General features: G+C 41.9%; 1 protein-coding gene and 2 non-coding genes across 38 annotated transcripts in view; all 3 read right to left on the bottom strand.

Moving 5' to 3' along the window:
• NFYC (nuclear transcription factor Y subunit gamma) overlaps positions 1–23,390 on the bottom strand; it is a 79,900-nt gene that overhangs the window by 10,091 nt on the left and 46,419 nt on the right. For 35 of the 36 annotated variants that reach the window (XM_017001365.3, NM_001142588.2, XM_006710661.3 and 32 more), the window contains 5 exons: positions 22,565–22,677; positions 13,908–13,979; positions 11,827–11,940; positions 8,267–8,362; positions 3,219–3,392 (listed from right to left, as the gene is read on the bottom strand). In XM_017001365.3, coding sequence (XP_016856854.1) covers positions 3,219–3,392; positions 8,267–8,362; positions 11,827–11,940; positions 13,908–13,979; positions 22,565–22,669 — 561 coding nt within the window. In that variant the 5' untranslated portion in view covers positions 22,670–22,677. Of the gene's footprint in view, positions 1–3,218; positions 3,393–8,266; positions 8,363–11,826; positions 11,941–13,907; positions 13,980–22,564; positions 22,678–23,390 lie in introns of those variants that run through there. The other variant, NM_001142589.2, reaches the window with a different exon arrangement.
• On the bottom strand, positions 4,141–4,229 carry MIR30C1 (microRNA 30c-1). The gene has a single exon (NR_029833.1). It is a non-coding gene; the product is annotated as a microRNA 30c-1 (primary transcript).
• On the bottom strand, positions 7,067–7,158 carry MIR30E (microRNA 30e). Its single transcript, NR_029846.1, has one exon. It is a non-coding gene; the product is annotated as a microRNA 30e (primary transcript).

Below are 23,390 nucleotides of genomic sequence, written 5' to 3'. Positions count from 1 at the left end.
AGAAATAAGTTTTCAATTTATGACAGAAAACACAGGATTAATTTTACCAAAATATGCATTCTTTCCAACTCTGCTTTAATACATATGTATTCTGTCCTACGAAGGATATTTGCACTCAACTTGAAATAGCCATCACTACGGGTCCAGGGAGGTGTGACACAGCACAAGGCCACCCTGAAGCAGCAGGATGGTGAAACAACAGCCAGGAAATGCTGGGAAGGACCAACTTCACCATCCTCACAAGCCTTATCAGCTCCAAGCTGAGCACGTCTGGGTTGGCAGAGAGGAGCACAGATGAAATTCTCGCTGACTAAAAAGAAATGCATGCTGCCAACTCATCACTGTACTGTATCAACCCAATTTTCCCGAGAGGATTTCCAAGGTATTTCTAAATCATTTCAGGAAAATGAGGGCTTGTGTTAGCATGGCAGCTGTCAAATCATGTATGGTGTGCCCTGCTGTCAGGGCACAACAGCCATGAGCTTCTTAGGATGATCAGCCAATCAGAGCCTGCCCTTGGCAGACTCCCTCTAAGTTCATTCTGTAAAGGGATAAAGCCTTTGGCAGGTAAAGTTTTCACCACTGCAGAGGCACAAGCATTAGCCAAAGAAGGTCCCTTAGGCATCATGATACAGTCGAGGCCTTGAGCCAGTGACTGAGCAGCCATTATCTTTGAACCCTCCTGCCTAGCACAGTGTCTGGCATAGAACAAGCACTCAATACATTTTTGTTATATGGATAAGTAAAATGAGCAGAGAATAAATCCTAAAATCATAATTACCTTTTTTTTTTTTTGAGACAGTCTCGCTCTGTCACCCAGATTGGAGTGCAGTGGCACGATCTCAGCTTACTGCAACATCCGCCTCCCAGGTTCAAGAGATTCTCCTGCCTCAGCCTCCCCGGGTAGCTGGGACTATAGGCGCCCGCCACCACGCCCGGCTAATTTTTGTATTTTTAGTAGAGATGGGGTTTCACCATATTGGCCAGGCTGGTCTTGAACTCCTGGCTTTGTGATCCGCCCACCTCGGCCTCCCAAAGTACTGGGATTACAGGTGTGAGCCACTACGCCCAGCCATAATTACTTATTTTTAATTCTCTGTGTGTTTGTTTTTGAGACAAGGTCTTGCCATATTGCCCAGGCTGGTCTCCAACTCCCGGGCCCATGCGACCCTCCTGCTTTGGCCTCCCAAAGTGATGGGATTATAGGTGTGAGCCACCGCACCTGGCCAAATCATAATTACTTAAATCTACCTCCTAACTGGGCATGGTGGCTCATGCCTGTCATCCCACCACTGTGGGAGGCCAAGGTGGGAGGATGGCATAAAGCCAGGAGTTTGAGACCAGCCTGGGAAACATAATGAGACCCCATCTCCACAAAAAAATTAAAAATTATCCAGGTGTGGTGGCACATGCCTGGGAGTCCCAGCTCCTCGGGAGGCTGAGGCAGAAGGACTGCTTGAGCCCAGTAGTTTGAAGCTGCAGTAAGCTATGATTGTGCTACTACACTCCAGCCTGAGTGACGAAGTGAGAACTTATCTTTAAAAAAACATCAATCAATCAATCTACCTCTACTCCATTTTTTTTTCTTCTAGGCAAACTCAGCTCCTTATTAGAATATACGAGGCTGTCCAGGATGTGTTTACTATCTATCTTTCCAAACTTGCGTAGATGGTCCCCTACGCTGACTACTTTCCTACGGCCCCCTGTACTGTTTCTCACCTCTGAGCCTTTGCCTGTGCTGTGCCCTCTACTGGCAATACCACCCTTTCCCACTTTCTTTGATTAATTTCCACTGTTCCCCAAGACTCATATTATTCCCTTCAGAAACATTATCTGACCACCTCGTTCACATCTTTCTCAGCTACTCATCCCCTCCCCTACATACATACACACACATATACATATATATACACACATATATAATACACACACACATACACACACACACACACATATACTTTTTTTTGTTTTTTTTTTGAGACAGGATCTTGCTCTGTCACCCTGGCTGGAGTGCAATGGCACAATCACAGCTCACTGTAGCCTTGACCTCCTTGGCTCAAGCGATCCTCCCAACTCAGCCTCTTAAGTAGCTGGGGCCATAAGAGCATGCCACCATGGCTGGCTAATGTTCTGATGTTCTGGTGGAGACAAGGTCTCACCATGTTGCCCAGGCTGGTCTTGAACACGTGGGCTCAAGCAATCCTCCTGCCTCGGCCTCCCAAAGTGCTGGAATTACAGACATGAGCCACCACATGCCCCTGCCTTTTTTTTTTTTTTTTAATTAAAGAAGAGGTCTTGCTGTGCTGCCCAGGCTGAAGTGCAGTGGCATGATCCTACCTCACTGTAACCTCAAACTCCTGGGTTCCTCCCACATTGGCCTCCCAAAGTGTTGGGATTACAGGCATGAGCCACTGCGCTGAGCCAAGGTACTTCTTTTAATGTGTTCCTTTAACACCCTGTACACATTCCCACGTGGTGGTACAACCTTTAAGTATTTGTATCCCCAACTAAATTGTGAATTCCTTGAAAATAAGGACTGTTTTATTCATGCTTGTATCCCCAATACATAGCACAGAACTTTACCCTCAGAGGATGCTCAGTGTTTGATGAATAAATAATGATTGACAGAGAATTTGGATTCAGAGCTCATAGTACAGAGTTCTCTGCAGCCTCACATGACCCCCAACAAACATGAATGCTACTGCTCTTAACACTACTACTGGGGAGAGAAAGAGTCCTCTGATTACTATCGTAAAAAGAGAAGGTCACTTAACACAAATATGGGACAGAGAAATGACGGGGAGAAGGAGTATGCAACTTGGCAATGATACCTAATCTCTCCCTTTAAGGGCACAAATTCCACTTCTCACACAGACACACAGACAGCAGGCATGGAGTTCACTTTAGCACCTCTACTCTTCATAAGGCATTTCAGACATTTTTTTTTCCCTTCTAAAATTTCTGAGCTAATAGGGATCCTGGAGAACATACTGTCTAGTACACTTTCCTCATTTGACCTTTGAGAAAAACAGGGTCCAGAGAGATTAGGGTAACATCTCACCCCAGTAGCTGAATCTGGGGAAAAGTTCCAGTTTCCAGACTTTAAATCCAGTGCTCTATAATGATCTGGCTGCCTCTCTGCCCTCATCAAGCTCTGCCCATCCAAAAACCTAAGGGGCACTGTCTTGCTGGATGGGCATCCTCAGCAGCTCACAGACCTGGCCCTGCTGAGGCTGTGCGATGATGATCTGCCCAGGCTGGATGGTGGTCGTGGAGCTGGTGGTCTGCTGGCCTTGCTGCTGGCCCTGGACTTGGACAGCGGTGGGTTGCTGAGCCAGCGTGAAATAGTACTGGACTGGCTCGGCAGGAGTTACAGACTGGCGCACCTCCTCCTGTTGGGTGGAAAGAGAGGCAGGTAAGAGGAAAAGAACCAACTCAGCAGCCGCCACAGTGAATTTCCACTCTTCCCCCAAACAGGCTATGTGCAGTTGCCTGCTGAATGCTGAGCTCTCCACATTTGAAGCCAAAGGAAAGTGGAATTCAAAGAGACCAGTTATGCTAAATCAAACTAAAAATAACAGATCCTATAGGCTTCACAAAACATACAGCCAATTTCTGAAGTACGAAATAATCACCCATTGCATGATAAGTTGCAAACGGGCAAATAAGTACCGTAACTAAAAACCACACACCAGCAGTGCTTGTCAGTAAATGCTGTCAAGGCCTGTGATCTGAGAACAGTGCTAATTGCAAGTGTTGGGAAGATGCTACCCAAACATCATGCCTCTCAGGCCTGGTCCCAATCTCCCAAATAGGCAGCACTCTTCTCGTTTTAGCCCCACCACTTCAAGGGGGACAGAACAGGTTAATGGGAAACAGGGCTTTTCCTGAGCTGAAATTTCAGGATCGAGAGCACTGGTAGGCAAGTACCCAGCTTTTCACAGCTTGTTGAAAGCTCTGTGGTCACTGAGGGCATGTCTATCCAGTGTCACATCTGGTTCTGGTTGTACTTAGCCACAGAAGCGCAACCCAGGGGGCCTGATGGACAGCTCTCCGCTGGGGTACTGCCTTGGCTGATTAGGGAGGTCGCATTCTGTCCGATCTGCGGAGTGGAGACTGTTCCTTCTTCAGCTGATGTTTTCCATGGCAGAAGGAGTAAACAACCCTCTCCCAGCCACCTTGAGCTCACAGCTGAGAGTGTAGGATGTTTACACACACTACAGCATGGTTATAGCCCACAGGGTCCAGGGTTGATCAGCCCCTGACCACTGACACAGAACGGCGTCTGATCCGGAGTGACCTGTGTGACACATGGTGCCCCTGCCTGGGACAACAAAAACAATAAAAACACAGAACCACTTGGGCTGGCTGAGTAAAAATATTAGCTAAATTTACTCATGTCCTTATTCAGGGCAAAGTTTGCCACGTTCCAGAAAAGAGGAAAAGACACTTCTTAGATGTACACAGACCCTGTGGATTGCCTCCAACTCCCCAAAGTAACATTTACAAAGCTGGTATTGACCCCATCCCCACACTATGTTAGGTGCCCTCAACTGTGCTTCCAAAGTACTGTCCTCACAGTATACATTTTTGCACTTGCATGTCAAATTAACTGTCTGTTCTACTAAAATGTTAAGCACCATGAGGGCAAAGCCTAGCTCTCTCTTGCTCTCTGCTATCCCCCGCGTTCCCAGGTAGGCACTCAGTAAGTGCGTGATGAATGATGAATGGATTTAGACAGGCAGACAGTTAGAGGCAGGAAAGTAGTTCTCTGAATCCAACTTGCTGATATGACAAATTCTCTTAAACCCAACAGCTGTTACCAATAGAAAAAAGTAGTCTCTAAACTCTCTTTTGGTACCTCTAAGACTCTGTGGCCACAGTGTGAGGAAGCAGCTAGTGTCCCCTGTGGAACAGAGCTGAGTATCCTTTGTTTGCCTGATGTCTGGGGGCTAGGATACTAAAACTAGGACTGCCAGTATCTACCCCTGAGAAACATGGGTCTCTGCATGACATGGTTACTTGACAGCCATCTACCCAGCTTAGGGAGATACCTGTAACATTCTGGGTTTCTAAGTTAATATATGAACTGACTTTTTAGGTTGATATAGTCTGTGCTTCAGACACAAATAGTTTTAACCCTCAATATGATTATGCTAAGGCAGAAGGAAAAGGAGATTCCCTTTTATTTTCATCTAGGTCTCAATTTCCACAACAATTTCAACCCCAACTTATCATCATTATAAATAAATGTCAGCCTGGAAACTAGGTATTGGCTGTGGCAAAGCTAAAATACTGATACCTTTTGCAGCCAAGAAACAGAAGCCAACTGCTCTTTGCAAAGCTATTGAAGTAGGTTCAAGGTACTTGTGTTCCACTGAGATCTCCCTTATTATTTTACAAAAAGCACAAATCACTGAAATCCAGACCTAACTTGGAAAAGCTCTTGGGTAATGAGAGGGTATACAGGAATGAGAGCCTCAGAACCAGCTGTGTAGGAAGCTAGGCAGCAGGGAGACACCTGCATTTTCTAGCCGTGACCTGTGATTGTTTAGTCTCCAGTTATCCCCAACTACAGCTGATCTAGTATTGAATATGATCTTTTTGTCAGACAAAAAGCAAACCCTTTAAAAACCCCTTCCAGAACCCAAAATATCTCTTGCCAAAAGCTGTGAGAGCAGGACAAGAGCTCCTCCTATGCTGCTTACTACATCCTCTTAAACTGTTTATGAACTAGACAGTATCTAGGACACTGAGAATCAAGTGGAGGCACCTAGGTTTGTGTTGTTAGGACAAGGCACAACTGTTCTCAAATCACTGGAATGGAAGAAGGCATATCTAAGGCTCTTCTGCATTATGAAGACTCATTCTGCCAATGGAGGTCAAGCCAGCAAGGAAATGATTATGCTTGGTTTAAAGAAATGGGTGAAAAGATAATGACATTTCAATGGGCAGGAACTTTCAACTCAATAGCTTTAGTGGGGCAGAAGTCAGGCCTCAACTACCTCCTACCTTCAAATAATCTTTACTTGCTTCTCTGAAGAACAAGCGAAACTCTCAAGTATCTTTGAGAAGTCAGGGCCTTGGACTCACAATTCAGTATTTCTGACTAGTTCCTTTTCCCAGCAGTGGGAGGTTGCCCCAAGTGGCAGAACAATGCTTTAATGACTGGATCAATCCAGAATGGGGCACTTGCTCAACTTTAGCAGTGGCCTCCCCAACTACAGGGCTTGCTCTTGGAATCTTTCCAGAAGCTGAGACTGACGAACAGTGCCAGAGAAGAGCAGCATCACATCCTAGGGCCATCTCTACAGTGTTGTGCAACCAGCCCTGACTGGAAAAAAGTACATTCGCTTTAGTAGCAAGAGTGAACTGCTGCCTCCTTCAGAAAGGGTGGGTTTTGGAGAGTAGGCGTTTTAAAGGACTTTAGGAGGTGCCAGCCAATTTGAAGCCTGGGAAAACTTCATGTCTACAGAGGATTAAAAATGCTATCTTAGAATTTCAGGCCAGCTTTCAGCAATCTCAACCTTTCAAAGGCCAGGCAGCAGCTGTCCCGAATACGATGCCAATCAATGCCTCGAACACCTACAAAGAACTAAATCCAAGCAACAAGAAGCTGTTTCAGCTAGACACACTTTAAAATCAGATGGATCATAGCATTTTGAGTCTGGCTAAGATGGAATAAGGAGCTGTATGACACCCCGAGAGACCCAGAAGCACTGAGGAATTTGGAGGAACTGACAGGATGTGACCCTTCTCTCCAGCCAGTGTATTCAGCAGGCAGCCCACAGAAAACAAGGAGTTAGCACAATGAGAGTGAGCAAGGCCTGATTTCATCACAGAGCTCACAATCTTGTTTTAAAGGGGGCTTCTGATAGACAAAAGGAGAAAACAATTTCAACAAGGAAAGCAGGTGTATGATACTCTTTGTTCTGAAGGAAGATAAATGGCCTGAGTTCTTGTTGTGACTTCTGAGAGAGGAGGGAAGGACCCCCAAGAGGAGGAATTGAGCCTGTGGGCACAAACCTGCAATGTTTCAAAGCCGGTGCGTAGCTGGGGACGACCGTGGCAGCCTGCCGCTGTAAACATCCGACTGAAAGCTCCTCTGAACACCTTACAGCTTCCAGTCAAGGATGTTTACAGTAGCAAAGACTGCCCAGAAAGAACGGAGACGCAGTGAGGCACACCCTACTCTAGTAAGGAGGTGACAGAGGGCTTGCTAATCCAAAGGCCCTCATGCAGGGTCAGAATTACAAATGTTCATTAGGATGCCCACTTCTCCTAGACTTTCTCTGACTGGTTATTAATACAGGCTGGGATGGGGAGAATGGCTGTCACTGAATGACTGCTTCTAAGGATAATATACTATGAAATAATTCATTAAAAATAAAGTTTTATATAACAAAGCAAGCAGAACAAGGCACAGCTTTGCTCCTGTGAGATTCTGCCACAATTTCCCAAGTGGCACCTAGTGAATCATGCAATCTGCATGCTTAAAACAATGAGCTCTAAAGGACAGAGGTCTATTACAATCACAATTAAGAGCTATATGCACCCAAGGTGCTGAAAAAACAACTAGTGTGACCTTTGGAGAGGGGCAGGCAGAAGAGACGGGAAGGCAGACGTTCATATTCTTTCTTGTGATTGCTTGCAAAACAGCTCAAGTGGTGGTTCTCAAATCTGACTGCACATTAAAAGCATCCAGGGAGTTTTAAAAGGTACTGATGCCTGGGCTCCATCATGAGATTCTGATTCAGCTGATGTGGGTTAGAGCCTGGGCGCTGATATTTTTAAAACCCCAACAGGTGATTCTAGTGTGCAGTCAGGGTACTATATAAAGATATAATGAACCACAATATAGAGGAAGAGAAAACATAGTCCATTCACTCCAAATGCCACTGTGCACATAGAGAAGCTGTTTCTTAAAAATCTAAAATCTATAACTTTCTGGGAATATTCTCCTATCCCAGATGAAGAGCTCTGATAGACTTCCTAAGATAACTTGAAATGAGCTTAACTTTACCATTTGTAACTAAAGTCTTTCATTTTCATTTTGTCTATTTTCACTGAAATACCACTTCGGAGGCACTGAGTTAAAAGTATCCAGAAATGAGTAACAGAAGGAGATGTTAAGAATGAATCTGGTCTAGAAACGAGAAGCAAAAGGAATAGCAAATGACTTGTGCTGAGAGAGAAGGAGCGTATCTGACACCAGTATACAAAGCGCTCTTCAGTCAGCAGCAACTGCAATCCCTTCACAGCTCACCTGACGCTTTGGAGGTTTCAGTTCATCTCTTGGAACAATATCGATGAGAAAATCAAACTGATCAAATTTTGTAATTGCCATGGCGATATCATTTCTCTGTAACAAAGAAGAGCGGTGTGAAAAATTAGCCTGGGGAGAAACTAGTTCACTTGGCTTTATACCCTCCAAGTAAGGTAAGACGACTTTTAAGCCAAACTAAACACCTACGGGCAAGTCTACAGCTGAAATAAGCACAGCCAAACTCATATACTTTAAATGATCAGACCTGGTGGGCAACCATCAACAAAAAAGAAAGAGATACATGTAACTCACACTGTAAAATGGGGTATCTGAGCCTCCAACCACTGCTACTCCTGCTTGATCCTCTCCCCGCGATTTTCAAATTACAAACCTAGTAATCTCAATTAGCAGGTTTCTGGTCATTCTGTGGGTTAGCAAAGTTAGGTTTATAATCTTTTTAAGGCCCTAAATAATATTTTCCCTTTGGTTCACAAGTATTGAATTAGGTAAAATCCTAATTCAATAACTTTTTGCAACATTTTCAAGTCACTGGATCTATATACACTAAGTTCTCACAAGCTATGATTTTTATTTGGGAATTCTAAATTGCAATACTTAAACCATGGGTTTATCATTGCAGTTCTGAATTCCCAAATAAAAAACATAGCTTGTGAGAATTCTGATATTCATAGTTTGTGCTATGAACAGCAGCAAGAGAGGTAAGAGAACACAGGAGTCAGAAGGCTAATGATACTGAAACCAAGACCTGCTCTAATGGGGGTTTCTCTCCAAGTGTGATACTTCCTTTCTTTGAATAATAAAATTAAAAGATTTTTACTAAAACCCAACATATTATGTATAGTTAAGATTTGTGTACTTTACTAAAGATTTAAAGCAAAAGGAAAAACAATATGAAAAAACACTGAACGCTAGTGAATGATATGCATGTTAAAGTATTTGGGCAAAGTAAACTTTACAATGCACTTAAAAACAGATTACTTGAAGGATGGATAGAGGGATAAACAGATATGAGAATAAAATAAGCATAGTAAAATGTTTATGGTAGAATCTAGGTTGTAAGTATACAGGTATTCACTGTAAACTTTGCTTATGTTTGAAATTTTTCATAATAAAATGCTGGGGAAAATGTTAACACACTAACAGAAATCCTTAGCAAACTCTATATACCACACCTTAAAAGGTGACTCATCGGACAAAACAGGAGAGGATGGAAATTTTTTTTTTCTTTCCCTTGTATCTGTGATGGCCCCAAGCCTCTGAAATGCAAAACTCTAGTCCGCCCTTCTTGCCAACCACGAGCTTGACGATAAACCCTCCCAACTGAAGCAGGGCCCATCTTAAGATTGCCAGAACTCATTTAAGATGACTACAATATAGTGTCACATTTTTTGATGTCATCTACTCAATCTATCTAAATGGCTCATTTATTGATGGAATAAAAGGGGAAAAAGAAAAATAATAAACATCTCCAGCATATAATAAAATATTCTAGAGTATTTTGGAAACATAGATATACTTAAGTTGGTCTTCCTAAAATTTTTATTTGCTTTTTAAATTCCCTGAGGCAGGAGGATCGCTTGAGCCAGGAGTTTCAAGACCAGCTCTGGGCAACATAGTAAGGCCTCATCTCTACAACAACAACAACAAAAATTTTAAGCCAGATATGGTGGCATGCACCTGTAGTCTCAGCTACTTGGGAGGCTGAGGTGGGAGGATCACTTGAGCCCAGGAGGTCGAGGCTGCAATGAGCTGTGATTGCGCCACTGCACTCCAGCCTAGGCCACAGAGTGAGACCCTATCTCAAAAAATAAAAAAGGAATATAGAAAGTTCCTTCTAGCCCTTTCCAGTCAATATCCTTCCCCACACTCCCCTAAATCTGGGCAACCACAACTCTGATTTCTATCACTATAGGTGGTAATAATGCATTGTATCATGCACTATGTAATTTTTTCCCTCTGGTTCCTTTTGTTAACATAGTATCTTTGAGATTTATCCATGTTGTATGGAGCAATGGTTTGTTTCTTTTTATTGCTGAGGAGGAATCCATTTCATCAATACCTCAGAATTTGTTTATATATTCCTATATTGATGGACACTTGAGTTGTTTCCAGTTTTGAGGTAGTATAAACAAGGTTGTTAAGAGCATTTTTATATAAGAATGGCTACAGTTCTTTTGGGTACAAACCTAGGAATGAAATGGCTGGGTTACAGAGTAGGGGGATATGTTTATCAGAAAATGTCTAATATTTTTTCAAACTGACTGACCACTTTAGATTCTGACCAGCAATATATGAGTTTCAGACACTCCACTTCCTCACCAACTGTGGTATTGTCAGTCTTTTTTATTTTAGGTATTCTAGTGGGTGTAAAACAGTATCTCACTGCAGTTTTTTATTTCCCTGATGACTAATGATGTTGCATATCTTCTCATGGGTTTATTGGGCATTTGTTTATCTTTTTTTCTGAAGGTCTGTCCAAGTGTTTTGCCTATTTTATTTTCTAATCTGAATTGATCTTGAAGGGAGCTTTAACTGGATCTCTCTGGATCCACAGACTAACTTCAAGGCAACATAAATTTTGTGACTTCAACATGCATATCATTTATTGGAGCTCAGTATTTTTTGCTTTTTTTGCTTTAAAACTTTCATATAGTAATGTACACAAATCCTAACTTTATGACGCATTGACAAGCTGTACTAGAATGCAGGCTTCCCACAGATAAGGATTTTTGTCTGTTGTGTGTATCGTTAATCCCCAGAGCCTAGAAAAGTGCCCGGCACATTGTGGGTGTTCAGTAAGTATTTTTAGAATAAATGAATAAACACATGCATTTTCTACTTTGTAGGTAAAGGGAAACAAGAAGAGAAAATAATTTACTTTCTTGGCTTCATTGTTAAAATACTGCCACCACTGTTTTATACTTGTTACACTCTTCTTCTTGTATCTGGGAAATCTTTCCTCTAAGAGCCAGGGCTTGGCTATAGGGTGAGGGTTTCTAGAGTCAATGACCAAGGGCTCTGCATACAGTATGAATGTGAATTCGCTAGGTTAAAAATTAAAATTAAAAAAAAAAGAAGAAGAAAAAGAAAAGGACTCCCAGGAAGGCTGACAAGGAACAAAAAGCCTAATGAAGCTAGTGAGACTGATGATACTTCCTGGAATCTCTCAAGGCTCCCAACCAGAAGTTGATTACGTTTGGAAACAGGTAAATACTCTTATCACTTGAGCCTCTGTTTATAGTGAGGGCTCACCAAGGGAAAAGAGTTCAGTCACTAAGCTGTGAAAACCAGGAGAGAATTGATTAAGATTTTTGGTGGAGAAACACAATCACCATGGCTAGAAGGTATGTCTGCCTCCCAACAGTGGTGATGCCAATGACACGTCAGCTTGATAGAGGCCTAAAGGAGAACAATCTTTGGTCCTAAAGGAGAACAATCTTTGGTCCTAAAGGAGAACAATCTTTCTCCAACACCACGCAGGAAAACAGGCAAAGGCTGCTGCTTACCCCAGTTTTCCTAATCTAAGTCTGCAATAATACCTGTAGAGTCCGGCGCTTGTTATCTTCTGTGTGAATCCAGGCTCGAAGAGTCAACTCTGTGATAAAAATCTGGGCTGCCTTGGCAAAGAGTACAGGCGCTTCTGCACTGATCATCTGTAACAGACACAGGCCCTCCCTGTCAATCACCAGCAAGTCATGCAAACCAGTCTGTCTCTTGCCTCATTGCCTGGCATGGGACTATGGGGCAAGGGTCAAAAAATGAGGTGGTATACTCAAGAGATTCCAAGGTAAAATAAATCCATGAGTGGGAACAAAGCAGGTAACAGGGAGAAAGAATACTTATCTAGCACATACCATGCGCCAAACCTTGTGCAAGGTGTTTTCTTACTCTTATAATAGCCTTTCAAAGAAACTAGGGGTCAAGAGAGATGAAGTGACTTGCCCACAGCCATAGAGCCAGTAAGTGGCAGGGTTTAGGTTCTAATCCAAGGAGAAACAATATGAGGAAGGAGAATGAGCTTGAAAGCCAATGGATTTGGATAAAATTGCAGGCTTCCCATCCTTTTGGGCTTTTTCATGTACTGAAAAAGAGGATAACCTTTCAGTTTTATTGTGGCAATCAAATGAGATAATATATGTACCCAGCCCAGGGCTTGGCATATAGGAAATGCTCAAGCCATATAAACTTTCTTGATGTGTCTGATTTCAAAGTTGAAGCTCTTGGTCAAACAAGGTTCTAAACCTTTGGTGAGGTAGTCTGTGCAGGATACAGCCACAGAAAGAGCTCTGGAGTTAAAGAAGCAGCAGATGGGAAATGGGATCTTGGTCCTATCACTCTGGGTGAGTCACTTAACCTCTTTGTGTCTATTTCCATTGTCTGTAAAATGGAACTGATAATTCTTATTATATCAAATCTCACAGGGCTACTGTGAGGAAGAAAGGAGCTAATAAAAGGGAAAATTACTATCAATTGTTAGCTTTCTGTGAAAATACAAAAGACTATTAATTTTGAGTGGTAAAGAGACAGAGTTCCTCTTTCTCTGAGATCTGTAATGGAGATGGACTCCTAGGAATACAGAAATGGCCAAGCCCACGCAAACCCTCTCACAAGTATTATTCATGTAAAAGAAACTCATAGATCAAAAGGTTAGAACAGGTAGAATATCATTATCAAAAATTTCTTAAGAGTTCAGATCAACAAACTATGTAAGACGCTAAGATGATGGCACTGTCCTGTTGATTTGATGATACATGTATATACTACACTGTGAACAGAACTGTGAGATACCAGCTGGGCATGGTGGCTCATGCCTAATCCTAGCACTTTGGGAGGCTGAGGCTGGAGGACTGCTTGAGCCCAGGAGTTCGTGACTAGCCTGGACAACATGGTGAGATCCTGTCCCCCACTCCAAAAAAACATTAAAAATTAAGCCAGACATGATGGCACGTGCCTGTAGTCCCAGCTACTTGGGAGGCTGAGGTGGGAAGATCACTTAAGCCTGGGAGGTGAAGGCTACAGTGAGCCGTGATTATGCCATTGCCCTCCAGCCTGGGTGACAGAGTGAGACCCTGTCTCAAAAAGAAAGAAAAGGCCAGATGCGGTGGCTCACACCTGTAATCCCAGCACTTTGGGAGGCAGAGGCAGGCATATCACCTGAGGTCGGGAGTTCAAGACCAGCCTGGCCAACATGGTGAAACCCTGTCTCTACAAAAAATACAAAAATTAGCTAGGTGTGGTGGCGGGCGCCTGTAATCCTAGCTACTCGGGAGTCTGAGGCATGGGAATTGCCTGAACCTGGGAGGCAGAGGTTGCAGTGAGCTAAGCTCGCACCACTGCACTGCGGCCTGGATAACAGAGTAAAACTCTCAAAAAAAAAAAAAAAACCCAACATCAACTATTTTTTCAACATCTAAAAAATTTTCAGGATGATCCATATAGTAACCAAAACTGCTCAATTTTGGCTCACTTAACAATTTTGCACAGGAACCAAATAACAAAGCAACAGACAGTAATTTTTGTGTGTTCTTGTTTAATTAAACTTTGAGCTCTAGAGAAATGAGCAATAACCTACCCATCACTTAGCTTCAATAAGAAATAATAAAAATGAATGTGAATTCACCTTCACATCTTCATCCAGTTTCATAATCTTCTTAATACGAGCCAGTGGGAGTTCCTGCACTCGGAAGTCTTTCTGAAATGAACAACAAGAGATGCATAAATGGTGGGGACAATCAACAGTGTGGCAAAGCATGACAGGCAGTAGGAAACACTCTGGCTTGGTCCCTCTCTTCAGGAAGCGTATGTCGGGAGAGAAGGTACAGATGAAATGAAGAAAATACAAGCTCCAGAGCAAAATTCTTCTTTACTTAACATATGCAGGTCTTCAAAGAATTAATGGGCTTTAGAAAAAGCTTAGGATGGCCTCTAACAGTGCTCTCATGAAACACAGCCCCAAGCAATATCTGTTTTTTTTTTTTTTTCGTCAGCACAACATAGAGGGACATTATGAGCGCCTTCTTTTTTTTTCCAAGTAAGTTTACCAGTCTGCAATATGCAGATTAAAATGAGATTTCTGTCTCAGGGGTATTCCTCTAAACTGCCAGTTCTTTCTTCCATTCAGTGACCAAACTAACAGCAACGCCGGGGCACTTGACCACAGTGATCCACAGTTCTTTACAACTGATAGTGGCCATTTCTGACATTTGCACTAACCTGACAACAGAAACTGGGGAGGAGAGCTCCTTTCTCATCACAGTAGCAATGGCCTTGTCTCCAAAATTTGTTTCAAGTGGGGGTAGAGGAGTATAGAAAAAGGATGAGGGTGAATTTGTCAGCTGCCTTTTAGGAACAGCTGTGTTATTTTTTCTTAACAAGCCTGGAGTGGGGGAGGACCATATAACTTCACTGTGGATATAGTTTAGGAAAGGGCTTTTTTGATCAGCACTACTCAATAATTTGAGACTTAAGCCCTTTTTTGTTTTATTTTGAAACTACTGGTATTTAAACACATGCCCAATGATGGATGCAATTCTAGGAAAAAAATCAATTTTGAGTTTCAGAGCTGCAATGAAGAGGAAGGTGCAAAGGCAGATATTAGCTAAAATCAGCAAAATCTCTACTGGGACTAGGTGTCAAATGATTGATTCTATAAGTGGTCTGAAATGTGACTCACTAAACCTAATATGCTCACCTGGGAATTTGCATCATCACATTATGGAAGGAGCATATATTATTTCAGATTTGATGTAATTAACAAGCATAAGTGAACTTTCTTTTGCAAGACCAACAGAAAATCTCAAATATATGTCAAAAAAAGGTATTTTGGAAAAACATCAACAGTCTTCCCAGAACCTATTTTATGATTATAGAAAGAAGAGAATCTATTAGGATAAAATGTACACCAAGACATCTAATTTTTCCATGCAAACCCAACAAGCTGCTTGGCTACCACTCTGCTCTACAAACTTCAAACACCAATTTTTCATCTTTTCCTTTTCCAAATTAGGTATCAACATTTTCCATGAACCCTCTACTAAAACTAACCCTGGAGTAACAGAGACTTAGAAGTTCAGTTTATTAAAATTTCAACAAAAGGAAACAGTAGCGCAGGTTCATTCTATTCTTGTTTTTCCCCTTGCTCTTTCATTTACTGATTCAAGCAACTCAACTAATAGTAAATGTATGATACCTACTACTATGCAAAAAATACACATGTAGGCCAGGCATGGTGGCTCATGCCTGTAATCCCAGCACTCTGGAAGGCTGAGATGGGAGAATCGCTTGAGGCCAGGAGTTTGAGACCAGTCTGGTCAACATAGTGAGACCCCATCACTATTTAAAAAAGAAAGAAAAAAAATACACATCTACTCCTACCTTTGAAGAGCTTGTGGTTTGTCAGAGATAGTCACATAAAAACATTATAATCCCCTACCCAATACTGGAGGGGAGGGATCCCCTGCGGGGACACAAAGAAGGACATATTGCTAGGGACAGCTAGCAATGTGGGGCTGGAGGGAGAGTGAGGGATTGGGAAATGTTCCACAAAGGGGATGACATCTGAATTGTGTCTAAGGGATGCTGGGAATTTGCCTGTTGAAAAAGTATGAGAATGTTATTCAGACAGAACAACAAAGACAGAGAGAGAGACAAAAAATCACAGCCTATTTAAGTTTTAGATCTACTACCTGAGTATAGAGGGGAAAAGCAGGAAAGAGGATACTGGGTTGGGGCCAGATCCTAAAGAGTTTTTTTAAAAGTTTAATCCCAGAAATCAACCACTGGTCTTCCTTCTTGTGTGGCATATCACAGAAGATGATGACACTACATAGAAATGCCAAAGAGAATGCTAGGGATGATCATTCCTTTGGAAAACCTCCCAGGCTAATACATACAGCACAAGATGATCATACATTTAGCTCTCTTGCAAGTGTGCTCTTGTTTGGCTTGGTTTTAAATATAATTTGTACAAGAACGTTCCATGATTACTTAACTAAAGCCCAAAGTTGATAAAAAAGACCTCTTTCCCCAAATTGAAAGAGTAAACTATTACTCCTTCAATTTCTCTTCTTTAATCAAAAGCAACAAAAGTCAAGGATCAAGAGATCATTCCCGCCTTGCAGAGATGTAAAATGAGGCAGAAATTTATAATAAGCTCTGCTTTAATCCCCTTCCCAAAGCTTTTCTTTGTGACAAACTATTTTTTCATGTTCCTGAAACCTTGAGATCTCAAGAAGCAGTGTGTAAAAGTGGATCTTGAGGGGTGTGTATGGTTCATCCCTGTTGACAATCACCCAGTTTTCTATAATCCTATCCTAGCCTTCTAGTTACATGTAAGGATTTACCATAAGCTTGTTGGAAAAGGGAGGCCCTCTACAATCAGTAGATTGAGGCCCACGAAACTTGGATTCATGCTCCCCACTTCACTAGCTACCATGTAACTGAAGTGAGTAACATTTAACTCCTTAACTCCTTCTCCTGATACTGATTCAACTGGAAGAACAGCTGACACACACTGCTCCCCCCTACTTTTGGGAGTTCTATCAGTAAGGCAGAAGAGCAGATTATCTCTCAGAACATTCTCATGCTCCTGACCACTACCAAAGAACTACGTTAAAAATGCTTCCATCTGAAACTGCTGCATTTCAAGACAAATTCAAATCTGAATTCACTCAATGAGAGTTTGGAGACAAAGAAAAGTCAACAGATCTTGGGCTGCACTGAAGAACATCCAGAGTTTCAAATAATAAAGAGAAACCTTTTCCAGGCCTACCCAGTCAGGCACTCTGGCAAGTCAAGATTCTCAACCCTTTGAAATCAATGATTCTCAATCTTGGGGCTGCAGGTTAGAATCACCTGAAAAGCTTTTGAAAAACAAGATGCCTGAGCTCTCTCCTGGAGACCAACTGAATCAGGAACTCTAGGACAGTGGTCCCCAACCTCAGGAACCAGTTTTGTGCAAGACAATTTTTCCAGAGATGGGCAGGGTGGGCATTAGATTCTCATAAGGAGTGTGCTACCTAGATCCCTCACATGCGCAGTTCATGATAGGGTTCACATTCCTTTGAGAATCTAATGCCACTGCTGATCTGACAGGAGGTGGAGCTCAGGCAGTAATGCTTGCTTACTGGCTGCTCACCTCCTGCTGTGCAGCCCAGTTCCTAGGTTCCTAACAGGCCATGGACCCATACCGGTCTGTGGCCCAGGGGTTGGGGACCCCTGCTCTAGTGGGTAGAGTACTGGCATCATGTTTTTTGAAAACTCCCCTTGTGACTATGATCCAAGTGAGAGTTAAGGACTACTGTTTTACGGCCCTGCTACTCAAAGTAAGGTCCTTGGACCAGCAATGGTATCACCTGGGAACTCAAAAGAAACACAGAATCCCAGGTTCCGTTCCTAACCTACTAAATCAGCATCAATATTTTAAGAAGATCCTCCCTCACGTGGTTCATACAGACAATAAAGTTTGAGAAGCACTGCTCTACAGAAAGGGCTCACACAGCACAGGACCTGTTTTGTAACAGTCCACCAACCTTCATCACCAAGTTCTTGTTTAAACAGTTATCTGATTTGATTGTAATGTTAGAAATGTCATCACCCAATCAGGAGGCACTGAGGAATGAAAAGATGAAACTGCCAATTAAAAGAAAGTGACCTAGGCACTCAATTACAGTTAAGTGAAGGCTGAATGGGATGTAAAGAGTAAGTAGAGAATTAGATTTTTCTTTTCGAAATTCAGCATTGTTGCCCACCTGCCCCCAACTCACCTCCATAAAGACAAAGTTAGCTTTCTCTTTCCTATTTTCAAAGAGGCCCACTGGGGCAAAACTCAACACGAAGAAGTCTGTTATTTGCTGTTCCCAGAGCTCTGCTGTGCGGGAATATAGGGTTTTACACAATCACTCTGGTGCACAATCATCTTGATATGGTTTTTAACTAATTTCAATCCCAGCTGAACACCACCTGGATTTATAGACAACTACAGAGCTTTTAAGAATCATGAGAACAAGCTAAAATGAAAGATAAATTGCTTTTACAGGACGCAGACCAAAAGGACTTGAGGCCAGTGTTTCCAACACATCATGAAATATATCATCTAGCAAACTTCAATTACTTCTTTTTGAAACAAATTGTGTCCCAGTCTGAGATCACATTTTATGAATATTCTCGTAAGTTTTACTTATGATTGGCTAGTTTAAACATAAGGAATTTTTTTCTTTTTAATCTGTTAGATATTGTGAGGTGTCAACCTAAGAGGCTCTGACACATCTGAGGAAGTCTGGTTTTAAGTACTGTTGAGTTCTGGAAAGGGACAGATTAAATGCTAAAATGTTTGGTCATGTTACACAGGCAGCAGCGCAGTCAGAGAAGCAGATGCCATCACGTGTTGCACTCCTGAGAAGAGGGGAAAATAAGAGTCACACAAGGGAAAAAAATTACCCTGACTTTACTGGATTGCATTCTTACTCAAATATGGAATTGATGTTGCTTTGCACTAAACCTGAAGTGGAGTCTAATTTGTTCAAATATTTATTGTGCACCTACTACATGCCAGACATTGTTCTAAGCACCTGATATAAAAGACATAGCATGGCAGAGGTCTAGGAGTCCCTTTCAAAAGTACATAGGAGGAGAATTTTAATTAGTCACCAATACAAGAAGGATTAAAGACAACTTCCTCTTTACTTTTCTTTCTCTTCACCCACAAAACTTGAACCAAAACTGAATCCCTCAAAGTAATTCTCTTTTAACTTCTGATAGACTAAGTCTAGGTACTAAAATTTGGTCAACATCATGATCAGCTTTGTTGGCAATCAAACTTGTAAACCAAGTAGGTTACAAATCAAAGCCCAGGGTCTTGAAGAGGTATTTGCACACTCATGTAACACAGCAGCACTATTCACAATAGCCAAGAGGTGAAACCAACCCAAATGTCCATTAACAGATGAACGGATAAACAAAATGTGGTATATACATACAACAGGGTATGATTCTGCCTTAAAAAAAAAAAAAGGATAGGCCAGACATGATGGCTCATGTCTGTAATCCCAGTGCTTTGGAGGGCCAAGGCAAGAGGATTGCTTGAGGCCAGGAATTTGAGACCAGCCTAGGCAACATAGTGAGACCTCCATCTCTACATAAGATTTTTTTTTTTTAATTAGCCAGGTGTGGTGGTGCACAACTAGAGTCCTAGCTACTTGGGGGACTGAGTAGGAAGGGTCCCTTGAGCCCAAGAGTTCAAGGCTACAGTGAGCTATAATCCTGCCACTGCACTCCAGCAATGAACAGAGTGAGACCCTGTCTCTTTAAAAAAGAAAAAACAAAGGCCACGCATGGTGGCTCACACCTATAATCCCAGCACTTTGGGAGGCAGATGTGGGAGGAATGCTTGAGCCCAGAAGTTTGAGACCAGCCAGGGTAACATGGTGGGACCCTGCCTCTACAGAAAAATACAAAAATTAGCTGGGTGTGGTGGCGTGCACCTGTAGTCTCAGCTACTCAGGAGGCTGAGGCGGGAGGATCGCTTGAGCCTGAGAGGTCGAGGCTGCAGTGAGCCATAATTGTACCACTACACTCCAGCCTGGATGACAGAGTGAGACCCTGTCTCCAAAAAGGAAAAAAAAAAAAGAAAAAAGATAAAAAAGGAAAGACATCCTGTCACATGCTTCAACAGACATGCTAAGTGAAATAAGATAAGACAAAAAGACAAATACAGATGTTGTTCTACTTACAATGGGGTTACATCCTGATAAAGCTATTGTTAAGTTGAAAAGATCCTAAGTTGAAAATGCATTTACTACACCTAGCCTATCAAACATCATAGTTAAGCCTCGCCCACCTTAAATGTGCTCAGAACACTTACATTAGCCTAAAGTTGGGCAAAATAATATAACACAAACCCTATTTTATAGTAAAGTGTTGAGTATCTCATAATTTATTGAATACTAGATTGAAAGCGAAAAACAGAATGGTTGAATGGGTACTCAAAGTACAACTGCTACTGAATGCACATCGTTTTCTAACCACTGTAAAGTGGAAAAAAAACATTAAGTTGAATCATTGTAAGTAGGGGACTGTACGATATGATCCCACTTCTATGAGGTATCAAAAATAGTCAAATTCATAGAAAGCAGAATGGTGGCTGTTTATTGAGTGCACAGTTTCAGTACTGCAATATGAAAAAATTCTCAAGGTAAGTTCCATAACAATGTGATTATACTTAACACTTCTGAACTGTACATTTAAAAATGGATAAGGGGCGAAATTTTATGTGTTTTTTTACTACAACTAAAAAAAAAAAAAAATCAAAGTCCAACAAAACAGAAAAGTTAAGTGCTGAGCTTAAACCTCCAGAGTTTATCTGGCCACTTGCCTGATCCTGGATTTATGCCTCTCGGCTCAAGCTGCGGCACAGACTTGCTCGATTGGCCTAGTCCCACCACACCCCAGGACAGCATTCATTTTACACCAAGCTGACCCCAGCACCAAAAGCTGATAAGCTTAATCATGAGATTAACCCCCTAAAATATGAACAAAACACCCCATCCTTTTGACTTTATCATTTCATTTATTCCTCCCTTCTCTTTCATATCTGAGACAGTTTAGATAACTACTACCTTAGACTGCAGAAGAGGAACAATGACTTTTCAGTGGAAATCCACTCTGAACCCAGGCCAGTCTGAGAAAGGCTAAGCCAAGTTCAACTGCTGAAAACTCTTCATATAAACAAACATGACCCAGAGGTATATCCAAAACATGAATTACTTTTTATCCCTGAAGTCAGTGGGCATTTATCATAATAAGTTATTTCATTTCATTAATTACTTGTTTATTAGCCTGTCTCATCAGAATATATGTTCCATGAGCGCAATGATCCTGTCTGTCTGGTTCATTACTGTATCCACAGTATCTAGCATAGCCTTAGTTGGTACATAATAAGTATTTGTTGAGTGAATGAATAAACTGACATTGTAACGTCAGAAGTTAAAGGTCACTAACCTTAAGCAATTGCAACATTAATTCTACATCAGGAAGGAATCCAGTGTCTGCTCTGCCAGGATGCTAGTATTTCCAGGGCAGGAATGACACAGCCAACATGGGGAGCTCCTTTAGTATGTGCTAAAATGACACCTTAATGAACATTCTTCATTAAGGACATGACAACTGTATTATGAAAATATTCCAACTCTAACCTGTCTCACCTTCCACTACCACTCTCATACCACATACTTACTCCTTCCCTCAACCTCCACTAAACACACAGTAACCTCCAGGCACTCTGAATGTCTTGATGTTCCCCTAACTACAAGGTCCTCTCTGGGCCTCCATGCCTTTATGCATGCCCTTGTCTTTGCCCTCCCATCCTTCACATCTGGTGAATGCTTACTCATATTTTAAGACTCAACAAAAATGTTCCCTTTACTTAAACTCAACCAGAAAGAATCAAGCACTATGTCCTCTGTGCTCCTTGACTTTTACTGCTTCAGGACTCATCACTGTGCCTGATTCAGTAAGTACTTAGTAAATACCTACTGACTAAATTATTCTGGTTGTAATTACTAGATTGTAAGCTCCTCACAGGCCGAGGTTATATTTAATTATTCTGAGTCAGTAGTTCTCAACAAGGGATGATTTTTGCCCATGGGGACATTTGCCAATGTCTGGAGACATTTTCTGGTTGTCACAACTCGGGGAGGGGTGCTACTGGCATCTAGTGAGTAGAGGCTAGGGGTGCTGCTAAACATGCTGTTATGCATAAGACGGCCCCTCACAACAAAGAATTATCTGGCCCAAAATGTCAATAATGCAGCTGTTGAGAAACTGCGATCAAAGTATATCTTTTTAACACCTAGAAAGAGTTCCTGACTCACAATAGATTTGTTGTTGAATAAATTGCCCAATAGTTTTTACCAAGTTCTAGAAATGTCGTAGGGCCACTAAATCAGGCCTAAAAAATTGAGCTACAGCTACTGAAGGAAGATGAGATCTCTGTTTTTCTGTAAGTCCTAAAGGATATGCCTCACATTAAACTACCTCCAAGTCAAAGTATCCACTGCACACCACACGCCTATGGAAGAACACTGAGATATAAAAGACTCTTGCAGTTACCTCACGGAAGGCAAATTATGTTTTCATTTTCCTACCCACAGGTCAGGGGTGAACCATGCCTCTGTAAATGTGCTTGAAATTAAAAATGCTTTAGTCTGAGTTTTGGTTAATTTCCCAGAGCTCTTTATACTCTTTAAAAGTTTCTAATAAAAGTTTCTCATTCTTCCTCACCACTGTTAAATTCCGGATTTCTTCCATGACCCGAGGCCAGAACGACTGTAGGCTTTGCTGGGCATCACTGCTGCTAGTACCACCAAATCCTCCTTCTGTGGACATCTCGACAACTGAAAATAAACACATACATAAGACACATTAGAAACAATAAAGTCAGACTTTCTGTCCAGATTAGGCATTTGTATATTTGTGGATGTTTTTATGAATCTATTCAATCTTTCAGTTTGATAAGGTATATAATTACGCTAAAAAGATTTTAACACAGACTTACATCTTAAAAACATTGGTAGGAAAGTTTTTCCTTCTATCTAGCTTATACCATAGAGACTACTGAAGACCTCCAACTAGAATATCAAAAGTTGCTAGAAATGTAAGCTGAAATCCTAATGTTAATCAAGGACTTTTAACTTCTTATATGGGTGTGGGGTGAGGAAAGTACTTTGTTGCCCTAGTCTAGCCCATAATTTTCAATGCCATTCTTTCCAAAGCTTTTTCAAGTTCTCTGTGGCTTCTCATCCTCCATGCCACAGCCTTCAGCAAATTCTTATATTAAAAGTCCCCAGTGATTAGTACTGTACAGAAATGTAAACCCAGTCTTAAAAGATAAAAGCCAAGCTGGGCACAAAGGTGCATGCCTGTGGTTCCAGCTACTCAGGAAGGTGAGCCAGGAGGATCACTTGGGCCCAAGAGTTCAAGACAGCCTGGGCAACATAGCAAGCGTCTGTCTCTTAAAAAAAGAGAGAGGGCCGGGCGCGGTGGCTCACGCCTGTAATCCCAGCACTTTGGGAGGCCGAGGCGGGCGGATCACAAGGTCAGGAGATCG

The sequence above is a fragment of the Homo sapiens genome, chromosome 1 (genome assembly GCF_000001405.40).
Source record: "Homo sapiens chromosome 1, GRCh38.p14 Primary Assembly".
In the NCBI taxonomy this organism is placed as follows: Eukaryota; Metazoa; Chordata; class Mammalia; order Primates; family Hominidae; genus Homo; species Homo sapiens.
This window is presented reverse-complemented; position numbering and strand designations above follow the sequence as displayed.